The 17074-nt window shown below is 36.9% G+C and overlaps 1 protein-coding gene across 6 annotated transcripts in view, besides 1 other annotated feature; it reads left to right on the forward strand.

Moving 5' to 3' along the window:
• The window catches only part of CDC14A (cell division cycle 14A), a 175277-nt gene that overhangs the window by 131001 nt on the left and 27202 nt on the right, over positions 1-17074 (forward strand). For 5 of the 6 annotated variants that reach the window (NM_001319211.2, NM_001319210.2, NM_003672.4 and 2 more), the window contains one exon: positions 8291-8450. In NM_001319211.2, the coding sequence (NP_001306140.1) occupies positions 8291-8450 (160 nt within the window). Of the gene's footprint in view, positions 1-8290; positions 9370-17074 lie in introns of those variants that run through there. The other variant, NM_033313.3, reaches the window with a different exon arrangement.
• Positions 9832-10126: an enhancer, noted in NCBI's record as "tiled region #2368; HepG2 Activating DNase matched - State 5:Enh". NCBI's record gives its function as "activates a minimal TATA promoter and a strong SV40 promoter by Sharpr-MPRA in HepG2 cells {active_cell/tissue: HepG2}" and the evidence as "EXISTENCE:reporter gene assay evidence [ECO:0000049][PMID:27701403]".

Here is a 17074-nt window from a genome sequence, read left to right on the forward strand (position 1 = left end):
TCTCAGTCTTTGCTGGCTGGCAGGGTTAGGGCCACAGTTTATTTCCTGTGGGGTTTGGCTGGAGAAGAGCAGTTGTTGAAATGTTTTGTTGTCTACTAGGATACCCTTTTCCTGTTCCTTTGACTAGACAGAGCAGGCTTTTCTTCGGGCTTTAAAAATATCAGCTCTGGGCTGGGCACGGTGGCTCATGCCTATAATCCCAGCATTTTAGGAGGCCGAGGCGGGCAGATCGCATGAGGTCAAGAGTTTGAGACCAGCCTGATCAATGTGGTGAAACCCCGTCTCTACTAAAAATACAAAAATCAGCTGGGCATGGTGGCATGTGCCTGTAATCCCAGCTACTTCGGAGGCTGAAGCAATCAATTGAACCTTGGAGGCAGAGGTTGCAGTGAGCCGAGATTGTGCCATTGCACTCCAGCCTGGGCGACACAGCAGGACTCTGTTGAAAAAAAAATCAGCTCTATTGGCATTTTTGAATCATATCTTCTTCAGCCCTAAGACTAGGCTATATAAGGCAAAAGGAAAACTCGAGGAACTCACCACCATTTCGTTACTTAGGTCTCAAGGTTCCAACCAATCTGCCTTTTTCTTTTCTATTTTTCAGAGTCTTGTTTTTTTTTTTAAATATATATAGGATTTTAAATTTTACTTATGGGAAGAATAGGGAAAAGTACATCTACTTTATTTTCCAGAAATGGTGTTATTGCCTTATATTTTAAGGTAATTAGTCTGCCTATAATTTTCGGCATGAAATCTGCTGTGGCAGTCTGAATAATGTCTCCCCAAATACAGGCATATTTTAATCCCTGTGAACCAGCTGTGAATGTTACTGTATATGGAAAAAGGGACTTTGCAGAAGTGATTAAGTTAAGGAAGTTGATGTGGGGAGATTATCCCGGATTGTTTGGGTGGGCCCAATTAATCACAGTGTCCTTAGAAGAGGGACCCAGGGGGAGCCATTTAGAGGAGAAGCCGATGTGATGACTGAAACAGATTGGACTGATGCATTTTAAAGATGGAGTAAGGAGCCATAAGCCAAGGAATATGGGCAGCCACTGTAAATTGAAAAAGGCAAGGAAACAAATTATCTCCTCAAAGCCTCCATATGGAACCAGCTCTGCCTACTGTCACTGCTTTAGCTCAGTGAAACTGATTTCAGACTTCCAACTCCAGATCTGTAAGAAAGTAAACTGGTGTTCTTTTAAACCACCACATTTACGGTAATGCTTTACAATATCCATAGGAAATTAATACATCTGCTTTGTATAGATAGCAAATATGTACAGCAGGAGATGCAGATCCTAGTGATGAACATGCATATTCTGAACTTCTCTTATTCATCATACTTTCTAATTTGGAGTATTTAATTCCAAATACTCCAAATTAGAAAGTATGATGAATAAGAGCATATAGAGGAGTCGTGTGACTTAAGTGTTATTTAAGGAAGCTTGAGTTGCAACAATGTGTAAGATGAATTGGGTGGATGGAGATTGGAATCAGAGAGGCTAAAAAGGAGGCTATTATCATCCATCTCAGAGAGACAAGGACTTATCAAAAGAGGATAGAAGTTGGACTGAAGATTTAGAGATGGGTACCAGGGACATTTCAAGAAAAAAGAAAAAAACAAGGCTTTGAAGACTAACTAATGATCAGAGAGATGAAGAGTATGAAGTCAATGATGACGCAAAAGCATGAATAAGTAACGTGTTCATTAAGCAAGAAATAAGAGGGTAAAAACGTTTTCTGTTAGGTTTTCACCTGTCAAAAATGACTGAACAAGTTAAAGTGATTGTATTCTTTTAAAGGTGAAAAGTCAATCAGTGCTTTTTAGAGAATGTTAATTCCAAATCTCTGACTTTAGAAAGGCTGGTTTGTCATATCCTCCTAGTCCTTGAGGACCAAAATATGTCCAGGTGCTTGATTGCCATGTCTTAAACAAGCAGCCCTCTTATTCACTGGCAGTAAGAGAGATGTTTATTAGCATCCTTTTGAGTTGTTGATGAATTTACTTATTGGCTGACCTCTCCTTTGTTACAGTCTGAAATTTTATATTTAAACTTTTAAAGGATATAAAGCTCTCTATTTGCAAAACAACCATCAGGTGTTTTTCTTCTATTTAAAGCTGAAGTTCTTAAACCAAAAATACCATTCTGAATCCCAAATGTGTCTTCTATCAAACATCCTCAAGGTTCTTAAAATGATGTAAAAATACATCTTTTTGTTTTTGAGCCAACTCTGGACTCAATGTCCTCCGAGACAACCTTTAGAAGTATAAAGGTGGAGTCAGGCTGCTTTTACAACTTGGTTGATTCTATTTATTGAACATTTGCTGTGTGAATGTTCCCCTGACCTTGGGTATCATTATCTATCTGTGATAGATAACCTATATCACAGATAGATAGATCTATCTGTGACAGATAACCTATATCACAGATAGATCTATCTGTGACCTCGGGGATCATCATCTGTTAAAGCTTTCATTCATTATAAAGGGATCATTGAGGGACTAGTGTGGGGCTCCCACGGGGATTTTCAGCTCACGGAGATCCTTTATTTATGGGGCTCAATATGGCATTGTTTTTGTTTTACATTTCCTTCTGAGACAGAGAGAACTCACATAAAGCCTAAATCTGGCTCTTGCAGGAAGTTTTGGCTCTGTAAAGCAGAGCTTCCATTTTGAATGAGGTTATCTTTATGAAGCACAGTATTATGGTTGAACTCTTTTTCATTCTTAAATCCATAAACCAAAAATTCCCCTGTTCTACTTTATTACAATAGATGTTTTCATCAGCTTCTACTGAGTTGGATATTTTCAGAATTCTAACTTTGTTGCAAGCCTTCCATTGTCTTCAGTGCTTCTCAAACATGAAAATGCCTAGGAATTGTTGGGGGATCTTGTTCAGTGCAGTCTCTGATTCAGCAGGTCTGAGGTGAGACCTGAGAGTGTGCATTTCTAACAGGCTCCCAGGTGGTGTGCTGCTGCTGGTCCCTGAACCATATTCAATAACAAGGGTGTTTGGCTCATCCTTACTCTGTAAATATCAACTTAGGCTACATCTTAATTTGGTGCCAATAGTATTTCGTAAGTTTCACAATTGGATTGAGCTAGATCAGAAATTAATAGTTAAACCATTGCTTTTTTATTTCAGGAATTAGCAAAAATAAGATGAAAAACATCTGTTTAGAAAATGGAAAATGCTTGAAAAAGTCTAACACTAATGGTTTGAGTTTTAGTTGAGATTGACTTCTATCATTTCCTTTTAAAAAAAGTTAATTCTTTTTTAAATTTCAATAGCTTTTGGGATACAAGTGGTTATTGGTTACATGGATGAATTGTATAGCATGAACTCCGAGATTTTAGTGCACCCATCACCTAAGTACTGTACATTGTACCCAATATGTAGCTTTTTAATCTCTCTTGTCCCCGACCCCACCTTCTGTGAGTCTCCATAGTCCGTTATATTCACTCTGTGTGCCTTTGCATACCTGTACCATTTCCTTTTATGGTTTTCTTTTAGATACATGCAGTAGGTCAAGGAATATAGGCTAAAAAATTTTAATTATTTATTTTAAGGGTTTAAAATTTTGTGTTTCCTAAAATACAGAAATTATAATCTGAAATACTATAAAAATCAGAATTTAACAAAACAAGATACAGTGTTTTATTAGAATTACAAGCATACTGCATAGGTTTGAGTTTACACTATTTACTGAAAATGACATTTTTGTAGTAACACTCAATTATAGAATTTTCTGATTTTCAACAGTTACTGCTGCATTATCTGATCCATTTGTTGACTGCCAGTTGATACTGGAACTACTGACTAAGCAAAAATAAAATCCTAATATGGGTTCAAGTATTAAGGATAATTAAGTATGTATCAGAATCTTTGGCAGTGGTTGCATCAGAAATTTATTATTAAATACTCATGCCAGTTATTACTCTAGATAGAAGACTGACTTTTTAAATTAATGTTTTATTATGGTAAAATATGTATAACATAAACCTTACAATTTTAACCATTATTATATGTATAATTCAGTGACTTTATATATGTTCACAATGTTGTGCAGCCATCACCACTATTTCCAGACTGTTTCATCATTCCAAACAGAAACTTTGTACCCATTGAACAATAAATCACCATTATCTCCACCCCCTACCCAAGTCCCTGGAAACCTCTATTCTACTTTCTGACATTATGAATTTGCCTGTTCCAGATTCCTCATATAAATGGAATCATTCAATATTTGTCGTTTTGTGTCTGGCTTATTTTACTTAGCATATTTGCAACATTCATCCATGTTGTAACATGTATCAGAATTTCTTTTAGAGGCTCAATAATATTCCATTGTATGTATATATCCCATTTTATTTATCCATTCATTTGTTGATGGACGTTTGAGTTATTTCTACCTTTTGGTTATTGTGAATAATGCAACTGTTCTGAACATTGGTACACAAGTATCTATTTGAATCCCTAGTTTCAATGATTTTGGGTATATACCTAAAAGTGGAGTTACTGGATCATGTGGTAATTCTATGTTTATCTTTCTGAGGAACTGTGAAACTGTTTTCCTCAACAGCTGTGCCATTTTTCATTCCCACCAACAATGCACGAGGGGTCCAGTTTCTCTGTATCCTTACCATGAATGGTTTTTGTTTATTTTGTTTTGTGTGCTCTGAATAAAACTATATGAAAAAGGTTAGAGATGGGGGAAAAGGTATTGTAAGCAGTAAGAAAGTAAGCAGTGATATATTAGGCTTAGTTATGAAGTTTGCATTTTGGCATGACACTCCAATGATCTAGCTTCTGATTGTAGGGTTCTATACCTAAACTAGATTTAGTTAGTTGAATCTTTTGGAGAATTCCCTTCCTCAGTTTTTTCCTTCTAGCTTCATTTTCTAGTATGTTTCACAATTAACTGCCTTCCCTTATGCTTTCAGAAATTCTCTAAACATCTTCCTAGTGAATCTTCCACTTGTACCACAGCATTTGAAGAACTCCTTGAATACCTGTTGCCTTCCCGCCCCCTGCATCTTGGTTACTGCTTCCCATCTGTCTTCCTTTGATAGCAAGGTAGACCATTTTGTTAGCCCACTTCTTTAGGCCAGGAACTGTCTCTGTTTCCATAATAGCTCTGGGCTGGTGGAATAGAAGGTACACAAAACAGATTGGTACTCAAGTCATGGCTAGAGTAGGCCTAGGCCAAGCTAGAGAGTGGGTTATGTTTCTATTTGGAGTGACCAAACAGTGGCTTTGGATGGACTTTGGGGTCAGGGTTGAGTTTTTTGGGAAAATTGTCCAGGATGGAAGAAGGATAAAGATAAAGAGTTCGGTTGGTGTGGAGATGGGATTGGGCTGGGCTTAGGGAAGTGAAGGAGGACAGGTCAGCCACACACAGAAGCCTGCACAACAGCTTCCATTGTGTTCTGGACTCAGAACTAGGAATATTCACTATAACAGTGTGACTGACTTGAATTTCATTAGAGGAATATTAAAAGCAGATGTAAAAAAAGACCTGTGAAGGCTCTAGATCAGAATCAACTGTAACTTGGCTCATAATAAGCCAAGTTATTTCGTTATTTTCTTATGTCCCATGCCTGGCTAGCCTAAACCCAACTAACCCAGGGCAAGGACATGGCTGAAAACAAGGACCCCAGCACTGGCTATACTTCTTAAGGCTCTATTCAAACCAAGACACATCTCTTCCTGTCATTTTAAAGCACATGCCCTTTTTAGCAGAGGGTCAGTAAATTTCATGCTGTCTTAGAAAATGCACTATATTCTTGGAGAATGTACTTTGAGCTGGTGTGTTGGCTTCATAAGATTTGATTTTTAAATACTAAATGCTTAAAAATACATGTTTTACTTCTTTTGTTTGAGATGAGGCTTTTAGGGAGTAATAGACACCACAATAAAAGCTAGCATGGTTTGCATTTTCAATAAAAAGGAATTTGCGTGAAGTGCTGCTTTTTCTCAAGAAGCACTTGCGTACAGCATTGCTTAGCAACACACAAATCAGCTCTGACACCTTATTCATCTTTAATATTCAGGTTCAAATCAAGCCTTTCCAGAGATGGGACAGATTGCGTCTTTCAAACCAAGCAAGTGAAAGTTGTCACTTTGTAATTTTCATCTTTAAGTTGGCAGCAGCATCAGAATTTTCATTTTATAACTTCTTTTGAAATTGGAATTTTTTTCAACTAGCCTCTTATGTCCTTCTCCTCTGTTCTCACTTTGTTTTTTGTTCCTAAAGACTCTTAAAAGGTCTTTCCTGTATTTTTGGTATCAAATTTAAATTCCTTAGGATGACATGCAAGGCCCATCTCTCATAGCCTCTGCTTCAGCCAAATTAAACAATTCATGTTCATAAACATGCTGTTTTCTTTGATATCACTATTTTTCCAGCCCACATTGTTTTCTTTGCTTGGCAATACTCTTAGCTGGGTAAGTCCTGCTCATCTTTCCAGATACTTCTGGAATGTTGGGGAACTTCTTTTTGATTCCATCAGATTGAGTAAGGGGCCTCTTTTCCTGAGGTCCTGTGCAAATCCTGATCATAGGGTTTATAATATCGGACTTCATTTGTTTGCTTTTCTCATCCTAAACTAGAAATCCCTTCTTGAGAGACAGGGATTCAGTCTTTCATCCTTATATCCTGTCCTACCTGTGTGTTTCATTTATCTGAATTTCTTACTATTTATGACAGAGCTGAATCTTCTCTTTTTTTAAAATCATGATTTTTATTCTTTTCAACCTATCTCTCTCTCTCTGTGTATATATGTATATACAGAGAGAGATATCGAAAGATATAGATATCTATATATATATTTTTTTATACTTTAAGTTCTAGAGTACATGTGCACAACGTGCAGGCTTGGGAGGCTCCATCCGTGTTCCCATAAATGACATGGTCTTATTCTTTTTTATGGCTGCATAGTATTCCATGGTGTATATGTACCACATTTTCTCTATCCAATCTATCATTGATGACATTTAGGTTGATTCCTTGTCTTTGCTATTGTGAATAGTGCTACATGAACATTTGCGTGTATGTGTCTTTATGGTAGAATGATTTATATTCCTCAAGATATATACTCAGTAATGGGATTGCTGGGACGAATGGTAATTCTGTGTCTCACTCTTTGAGGAATTGCCACACTGCTTTCCACAATGGTTGAACTAATTTACACTCCCACCAACAGTGTATAAGTGTTCCTTTCTCTCTGCAACTTCACCAGCATCTGTTATTTTTTAACTTTTTGATAATAGCCATTCTTACTGGTGTGTGGTGGTATCTCATTATGGTTTTGATTTGCATTTCTCTAATGATCAGCGTTTTAACCTGAATTTTATGTGATATGTGAAATCTTTGTGAGAAAGTATTACTCAATCCTGTTGCTTTAAAAAATATCTATGTTCTTACTGGTGGCGTCTCCTTGATGATGCAATTATTTCACTAGATGTTGATATTTTTTATGACGAACCACAGTGTTTTTAGTTTAATTCTATTCTGTACAGTGTGTTATAGGATAGAAATAAAGTGATTTTATGGAATAGTTTATCTTATAGGAAATGTATGAAGGTGATCCCACCAATAAAAATAAAATCCTCAGAATGTCATTTTGCTTACATATTTTAAATTATCTTCATATAACTTTGAAAACAGTTGTGATTTTGCCTTAATGAATGAAAGAAAGTTTATACATGAACTTCAAACACATTTTCTTTTCTAAGGACAATCTAATTGAGGATATAAGCCTTGCTTTTAGATTCTAAGAGTAGGTTTTTAAAGTTATGTGTGAGGGCCTTTCATGGTACCACCCAAAAGTAGGTATGCAATACTTTTTTGGGTAATATCTCCATTTAACTCAAGTTCTTTCATGTACAGTTTTGAGTCCAGTTATTCTCTCTGTTTTTATAAATAGGCATATCAAATTGCTATTTGAGAAATTGAAGGTTTCAAATTTATATTTAAAAGACAAATGGGCTCATAATCTTTATTGCTGTGGAATTTGTTCTAAGCATCTGAGGACTTCAGCAGTCAACTATATAGACAAATATTGGAGGATGACATTTGTGTTTAATATAGAATCTTATTTTGGCTTTTTGAAAGTGACTTCATTGTTCTTTATTCTAAGATATCATAATCTTTCTAGTCTGATTTGTAAATGCTTATTTGCTAAATCTTTTCCTTTATAAGACATCATACCTTTGAGATGAGAGTAGATTGTTTTAAAGATAACTTTTTCTTGTCGTTTTGTTTTGTTTTGTTTTTTATACAGAAAACAAGCATCGTTGTGGGTCCAAGGAGACATTTTCCGATCCAAACTGAAAAATCGACCATCCAGTGAAGGAAGTATTAATAAAATTCTTTCTGGCCTAGATGATATGTCTATTGGTGGAAATCTTTCAAAAACACAAAACATGGAACGATTTGGAGAGGTAAGTTTTCCCTAGGAGATTCTATCTTCTTAAAACTGATGTTCTGCATTTGTTTCTCAGTTGGACCTATATAACATAGCAGTGTCTTTTCTCTGGATGCCACGAGTACCAAGTTTTTAGAAGTAGAGCCATCCGTCTATATAGCAAGAAGCAGAGGAAAGAAACCAATTGCCCTTAAAAAAAAAAAAGCTATAATTTAAGGAGTAAATTATAAAGGAGGCTACTCTGGTAAGGGGTAATATTTATAGAAAGGAAACAGAAAAGCAAACTTTCTATTTGAAAATTAAAATAAATATCAAGAAGAAAAATTTTAATGTGACAATTGAGGAAATAATACATACCACAAGTGGTGCTTTGAAAGCCTCAAATTCATGCTGATTTCTAAAGTAAGTGCCAACTTGAAAACATGATTAGGGCACTTTTTTAAAAAAAAATTAAGGCTCTACTGTAAACAAACCACGGTAAATAGTTGATATATATTGTCTGATTAATATTCATAACTACCTGGTGAGTTAGGTAATACTATCTCTATTTTATAGGAAGGAAATTGCATATCAGAGATGTTCTAACCTCAGTGTCAAACATGGTTCAATCCATGTCTGTCTGAGTCCAAGCTTGTGTTTTTTTATATCACACCCTGTTACCTCTGAATAAAAATAGAAGTGATTTACTAAGAATTAGGATTATGAGCATTTTTGGAACTAGAAACAACGTTGAAACACCATTTGTTTGGTTCCACTATTGTAGAGACAAGAAACTGGGGTCCCAGAAAATTTGTGATTTGTGTAAAGTTCCAGGGTTGTTTAGTAGTGGGGCCACTTTGACAACTGGGCATTCAATTCCTAGTTTAGGTCTTTCTACCACGTTATACCTGAGGTGAAGCTAAGTATCTGGTTTATACTTTTATATCTCTAAAGGAGAAAAAAAGAAAAGAAAAAAAGGACCTGTTCAAAATAGTGGAACAAGCTAGGCAGCGTGATGTGTGCCTGTGTGGTCCCAGTTACTTGGGAGACTGAGGTGGGAGGATGTTTGAGCCCAGTGGTCGAAGCTGTAGTGAGCTATGATGGCGTCACTGCACTCTATCCTGGGCGACAGAGCAAGCACCCGTCTAAAAAAGTAAAAAAGAAAAAAAGAGAAAGAAAGAATATAGAAGCAACAAGTGTAGATTTACATTCTATTAGACAGTGACCCATTAGACCCGGACAAGGGCCTTAAACCAAATACTGTGGCTCAAGCTTAGCCCACAAGGAGCCCAGAATGGAAGGAACACATCATAGCTCTCTTAGGTTAATGACTGGCATCCCAAACAGATTTCTTTTTAGCAAGAAAGATAGCCAGAGTGCTTGGAGATTGGGAGCATGAATTTTCTTTCAGGGACAAAGGATGGAGACCGTTGGAAGAAATGATTTTTAAGCCCAGTGCTCTGTTCTCCAGGATGGCTGCTGATGAGGTGACTAAGTTTACCCATTCGAGTCATCTGTCCTGATGAAATGTACACCTTATCCAAGGTCATGTTGATGTTAGAGCCTTTGTTGACTTTTCTTTGTCTCTGTGTTCCAGTTTCACCTATTAAGAGCAAATAAAAAGAAAGGGTCTGAACTAAGATTTTAACATGATAATATAGCTAAGCAAGAATACCTTTTTCTTGCTCTAGTCAGCATTTCCTCCCCAGGTTGAGTACAAGTAAATAGGGCTTTGAGTTATGAACTCTGAAAAGACAAACATAAAGTTAATCCCGTTATCTGAGAAACATATTTACCTTGCAGGAACATAGTACTTTCTATATCATAATCTTGATTAAGTTAACATCTGGTAGTTAGAACGTTTTATTCTCATACTCTTTTAATCCCCAATTTGTTGAATTTAAGAAACTTAACATTTATGTATCACTGTGAGGGTAAGGAATGCAATATGATTGGAATTTTAAATAAGACAGTTTTAAATATAAGTGTATATAAGTCTACTCCCCCGTCTTAGTCCATTTGGGCTGCTGTAACAAAACACTACAGGCTAGGCAGCTTATAAACAACAGAAATTTATTTCTCACGGTTCTGCAGGTTGGGAAATTCAAGATCAAGGCATCAACAGATTTGGTGTCTGGTGAGGGCCTGCCTAGTGGTTCATAGACAGCACCTTCTGCATCTTCACATGGCAAAAAGGGCAAACAAACTCTTAATGCCATCACCTTGTGGGGTTGGGATTTCAACATATGAATTTTGGGGGCTACAAATATTCAGACCATAGCATCCCCCATCATTATTTTAGTTTTAGCCATTGAAATGCTATTGTTTCTGAAATTCAAGAGCAGAAATGAAAGAATTCAGAGATGCCAGAGAATGATGGTATGGTGAATATTTTACACAGCATCATGTATGGGCCCTAGGACTACTTTATTAGCTAGTTAATGGCTTTGTGCAAGTAACTCTTACAAGCACTTTTCTTTCCATGCTTATCTGGTGCCAGCTCTGGAATATCACATGAATATGGAAAATTCGCTTACTCAAAATTGGTCTTAACAGAGTTAATGATGTCTTTATTATTCTTATAAATTGCACATGGGAAAATAGATTGAGAATGCTGTAAGAATTTAATGTGTTTCAAGTTGCATGTGGGTAAAAGTCTATGGAATTTCTGGATTTACTTAGTTTGTATATATAGAAAGTGCAAAAAGGCAGTATTCCTCTTGAGATTGACTTTTAAAAAAAAGATTAAAAGCAGAGATTCTAAATTATTATTTTCTTTCTAGGCCTACAGTAATTTTCTTGTGATTAGTTACTAGGAAGCTCTGTATTACCAGATTTGGAGAATTCGAATAGAGTTTTTTAGGCCGGGCATGGTGGCTTACGCCTGTAATCCTGGCACTCTGGGAGGCTGAGGCAGATGGATCACTTGAGGTCAGGAGTTTGAGACCAGGCTGGCCAGCATAACGAAACCCCATCTCTACTAAAAATAGAGAAAAAATTAGCCAGGTGTGATGGCACATGCCTGTAGTCCCAGCTTCTTGGGAGGCTGAGGCATGAGAATCACTTGAACCCGAGAGGCGGAGGTTGCAGAGCTGAGATCATGCCACTGCACTCCAGCCTGGGCAACAGAGTGAGACTCGGTCTCAAAAACAAAACAGAACAAAACAAAACAAAACAAAACAAAAAACAAAAATACAGTTTTTTAGTGCTTAGGATGTAGGTGAAAGGAAAACAACCAGAATGTTGCAGGTCATAGTGATGGACTAAGTTGTGGTTTTACTGAATGTTCTTTGCCAACTTAGAGTTATGAGAAATAAAATAGAGGCTTCACCTTTATTGAGCCTGGACTTCAGTGCTGGGCTGGGCACTATGAAATATACACAGCCCATCCTGTGGGTCTAGGTTAGGCTCCCTGCTCCCTGCTCCTGCCTTGCACTATACTTTTCCCCCACAGTCCTCATGCCTCCTTCCCTGCTCGGTGATACTCTCTAGGAAGGCAGAGACTTTTATTTGTCTTCATCATGATTCTGTTTTTGGCAAAAGGCCTTAATAAGTATTATGTGAATGGATGAAGAAGGCTTATAGTTTCAGAGAAAAAAAAAGGACAGAGACATGAAATTGGTAATAATCTAAGCTACACAAGTGCATTATGTGCTCAAATACAAAATAGTACTAGCAATAAGTGCTCACTTTAACATTTAGGGGCCTATGGGTCCATTATGGCTTGGAGTTATCTTAAAAGATAGAATTTAAAGTACTTTATTTAAAGTGCAAATATTAAATCAGGATCTTAGCATGAAGTTACTGTATGCCAGTAACTGTTTTAGGCACTTGACATTAATGAACTCTATTAATCCTTACAGTAGCCATATGAAATAGGCACTGTTACTAGGCCCATTTACAGGAGACATACCTGAGGTAGAGGTCAAACCATCTGGCCAAGATCTTGGGTACATGGTGAGGTGGTCATTTGAACTTCTGTGCTCTGGCTCCAAAGTTTGTGCCCTCAGCCACCCTCCCGGGAGGCCTCTCACTATACTCTGCTAACTCTCTATGAGGTCTTCATTGTGGCTTTAGTAAATTATGTACAGTAATTTTGAGCAAAACTGTAACCATTCCCTACTAATAAACTTCTTCTGGAATTACAACGGTTTTTACATTTTGTCTTTCTACTCTAGGGCTATAGTCCAATATTAGCATACCAATCAGTAGATGCTCTTGACTTAGTGATATTAATTAGATACAGGTGCTGCTAATATTCAGCCAAGTTCATACAAATTGACAATCAAGTAGACAAGAATGTAGTGTTTTAATTACATCTTTGAGACATTGTGATTTATAAAATCCATCAAGTACTCATAAGCAGGGTACATCTTAGAAAAATCTATGAAGTAAAAATTAAATCTCTAATGTCCTGCTTTTTAAGCACCTTTCTTTCCCCCATTATGACAGTGAAGACCAGTTCTAATCTGAATGCCATTGGGATCCACCAGAGGTTATTAAGCAGGGGAGTGACAGCACACAGAATCATGGTGCTGAGAGATCACTCTGGCTATGGTGTCATATAGGGCTGAGGGTGGAAGGCCAGGGAGTTGGTGATGGGGAGGTCCAGGTTTTAAAGGTCCCAACCAGTGGCAGTGAATGGGGCAGCCAGAAGAGAGATGTGGGCAGCTCTGATAAATTCAAACTTTTTATTGATCAGAAGCAGCTTATTATAAAGATGACATCTTTGCCTTTCCCCAGCACTTACATCTCATAGGTTCAACATCTGAGAGCTGAAAAGAACTCTAGAGATGACCCAGCCACCTTTCCTAGCCAATTTATTAAAATCTGCTAAAAATTCCATTCTCATCTTTATCTTCCAGTTCTTGGACTTCTATTTTTACTCATTTCTATTTAAACTGTCTATTTATGTCATTTTTCTATTAGGACTCTTCCATCTTTATTCCCTAGTGTGCTATATTCTATCTCATAGATCTTTTCTTAATGAGACTTTCCACAGCCTTTCCTATAGCTTACTGTGCCACGATTTTGTTTAGGTTTTGGTCAGCAATTACTTTATCTAGCTGAAATCTGTGGACACGATTGTGCATAGAGAAAACAACTGGTGGAATAAAATATTTATTCTTCATGTTGTTGTTTGTTCTTTCACTAGGTCATCACTCATGTTTTTTTTTTTTAATTGTACTTCTTTTGGTACAATATTTTAGTTTACTAAATGATATTACTAAAATATCATTTTCTTGCCTTCATGTAGGGCAGCCCAGTATCCAAAAGGAAGAGAGTTGCTGCTTAATCCTCCAAAGGGCAGTGGGGCATCTGAGAGCAGACCCCTTTCCTGTGGGGGACAAAGATAGGAGGGTCTTCCCTGGACTAGGTAGGGTTCTTCATTGTTGCCAGCATCAGCCAAGTGGTTTTGTTTCTTTTCAGCAGATTCCAGGGAATCTGCCTCTCCTGGACTAGCTTAGGACAAGAGAGAGTCTGCTCTGGCATTTTGTAGGGAGATGGGCTGGAGCCTAAGGGCAGAATGGAGGCCCAGGTTGGGTTCTCCTCATTTGTCATTTGTGAATGTGTTCTTTAGTCATCATGAAGAATGAATCTGGTATAAGGAAGGAGGCCTAACAGCACCTGATGAGAAAAGTCTTCAAACACTCCCCTGGCTACCAACTCATGAGATTGATTTGTGCCACACAATATCTGCATTTGCTAATAAACATTTTCCTCCCACAGGCTCTTATGACCTGGTACATCTTATCGGATCAATCCCCTAATAAATATAAGGCTTATTATATTTATGTCTGTGTGTCTTATTCAGTATTCCAGGAGGCCAAAGTCCTTTTCCATATAGCTTTTTAGTTTCTTAATTCTGTAATTTAATGTAAATATGTTTTGAATAATGTTACTATTTTTCTTGAGTTTGAAGGCTATTTATTAATCACTGAGAATTTTATAGTTTATATGTTCTATCTCTCATAGTCCTAAAAATGCCCACACTTTGTACAATGGCCACAGAGAAAAAATAAAAGAAGATTAGTTTAGACAAAAATAGTACGGTTTACATTTTAGTAGATTTTTTCAGACCTATATTGCCTGTCTGGATCTTTCCTCCTTCTTCCCTCTCCCCAAGTCTGAACTCCCATGTGGTTTCCCGTACCCTAATCCAGTCCATCATCTCTCATCAGACCACTGTATAGCCGCTTAAATGTGTCCCTCCCCCGAGTCTTGACCTCCAATTCATTCTCACAGTGATCAATGGGAGGAAATATATGCAATATATGCAAATGAGGGGGGTCGTGTGGGTGTAAAGAACTCTTACAAATCACCAAAATACTATGTGCACAAATAAAACAATATGGGAACCCTCCTGGCTGGTAAACATAAAAAAATTCTACTTCCCTAGAAATGGAAGAGACACAAATTTAAATGATGAGATGCTATTTATGCCTATCAAATGTATTAAAAATGTATGCAGTATTGACAAACGTTTAGGGAATACAAAGCTCTTAAACATTGCTAGTTGGAATTTACAATGGTACAGCCTTTTGGAGGGCAATTTGATCATATGTGGAAGATGACTTTAAAAGGAATTCCACTTCTATGAATTTGTCTTAAGGCAATAATAAGTCTTCATAAACCATGTATATATAAGAGTATGTTTGTTGAGGCTGTTTATAGTGATGAAAGACAGAGAACAGCCTAACCTAGGCTATCGGTTAAATAATAAAATTAGGCATATCTAGACAATGGAATTTTATGGAGCCATAAAACGACAGAGATTTAAAAAAATTTGCCCTGAAAAACTTCCACTATATGTTTTTTAAGTTAAAAAAGTTACAAAGCAGCATATGTATATAATACAACCTCTTTTTGTAAGGAAGAAGTAGGTTGGGGGTTTTATATAGCACAGGGAAAATTCTGGAAGACTATGTGCCAGAATGTTAATGTGTGTTGCTTTTGATGGTAAATATATAGGTGGTTTTAATATTTTTTCCTGTTTACCTATACTTTATTACTAATGACAAACATATGGTAAACATATCTCCATATATATGGTAAATGCATATATATTTAAATACATAAAAATATATCATAAATATATCTGCATCTCTCTCTCTCTCTCTCTCTCTCTCTCTCTATATATATATATATATATATATATTTTTTTTTTTTTTTTTTTTTTTGAGACAGTCTCTATGGCCCAAGCTGGAGTGCAGTGGTGCGATCTAGGCTCACTGCAACCTCTGCCTCCCGGGTTCAAGTGATTCTTGTGCCTCAGTCTGCCAAGTAGCTGGGATTACAGGCACGCACCACCACATTCAGCTAATTTTTATATTTTTAGTAGAGATGGGGTTTCACCATGTGGGCCAGGTTGGTCTTGAACTCCTGGCCTCATGTCATCCACCTGCCTTGGCCTCCCAAAGTGCTGGGATTACAGGTGTGAGCCACCGTGCCTAGCCAGATACCTTTTTTTGAGAAAAAACACCTCTGCCCTCGTGGTCGTCACCACCGCAGCCACCCGAGAGGAGCTGGGGAAGAACAGTGGCCCGCGAGGCTCATCACAGACAATGCGGTGGCTCCTGTGAGGGTGTTTAAGTAAACTTGAGGGGAGGAAGTAAAAGTATGTTAAATCTGGGTAGTTAAGTGCATGGCTGTGTATTGTAGTATTTTTGTTCTTTTCTGATTTTGAGATGTATCATAATTTACAGAAATATTTGACCTTTAAGATTCACAATAGAATGAGAGAAAAATACATGCAAAGTAATTATAATTTAAAATGTACTGTTATTTAATTTTCTGTTTAACTGTATATCTTTTAAAATGCTTTTATTCTTTTCAAGCAATATATGATCACAGCTTAAAAAATATCAACAAGCGTTGAATTCTAGCAACAAAAAATATCAGTCTCCTTTCTCACCTTTCTGTATCTCTGGACCCACTTCCAAAGGGGGAAACCTCTAGGAAAATTATACTATTATTTTTAGTGCCATATTTCTATTATAAATACTTTGCTTATGTTGCTGTTTTTTAATTGATCAATTTTGGACATTTTTGTATTGCCTCCTGGTTGTTGTAGACAGGATGCAGCTCTTCTAGCTCACTGTCACCACCACTTCCCAATATAACTATATTCGTTAAATCAAATAATGTGCACATTATTACTATGTAAACATTGTTCACGGTTGAGCTTAGTAGTACACTATGACTGTTTTCTTTTTTGACGCTCTCTTTGTGTGTCCTAGACTTAATTGCCTTTTTAAATTTGCATAGTTTTCTATGCATTTAGGAAAAGATAATGCTTTAAAAAGTTGTGCCAAACAATTTTAAATTTTTTCAAAATTTCAACACAGCAAAATTCCATTCTAATTCCATTCTTTTCCTGAAGACATTTCTCCCTTCTAACTTGGACTGGTTGTTCTTAGCCCTGCTGTGTGTGTGTGTGTGTGTGTGTATGTGTGTGTGTGTGTGGGTATGTGTGTGTGTGTGAAGTCCTAGGATCAGAACTATATAGCCTGATTCTATAACTCTTCTTCATATTCTTCAGTTAGATCCCTAATTTTCTTGGATCTCATGTTATCTTTCCTTTTTTCCTGAAGAGCATATCCTGTAATAGTTTTCTCAGAAAGATTGTATGGGAGGTAAATTTTTATATCTGTTTTACCT

This window comes from Homo sapiens, chromosome 1, assembly GCF_000001405.40.
Source record: "Homo sapiens chromosome 1, GRCh38.p14 Primary Assembly".
NCBI classification, from domain to species: domain Eukaryota; kingdom Metazoa; phylum Chordata; class Mammalia; order Primates; family Hominidae; genus Homo; species Homo sapiens.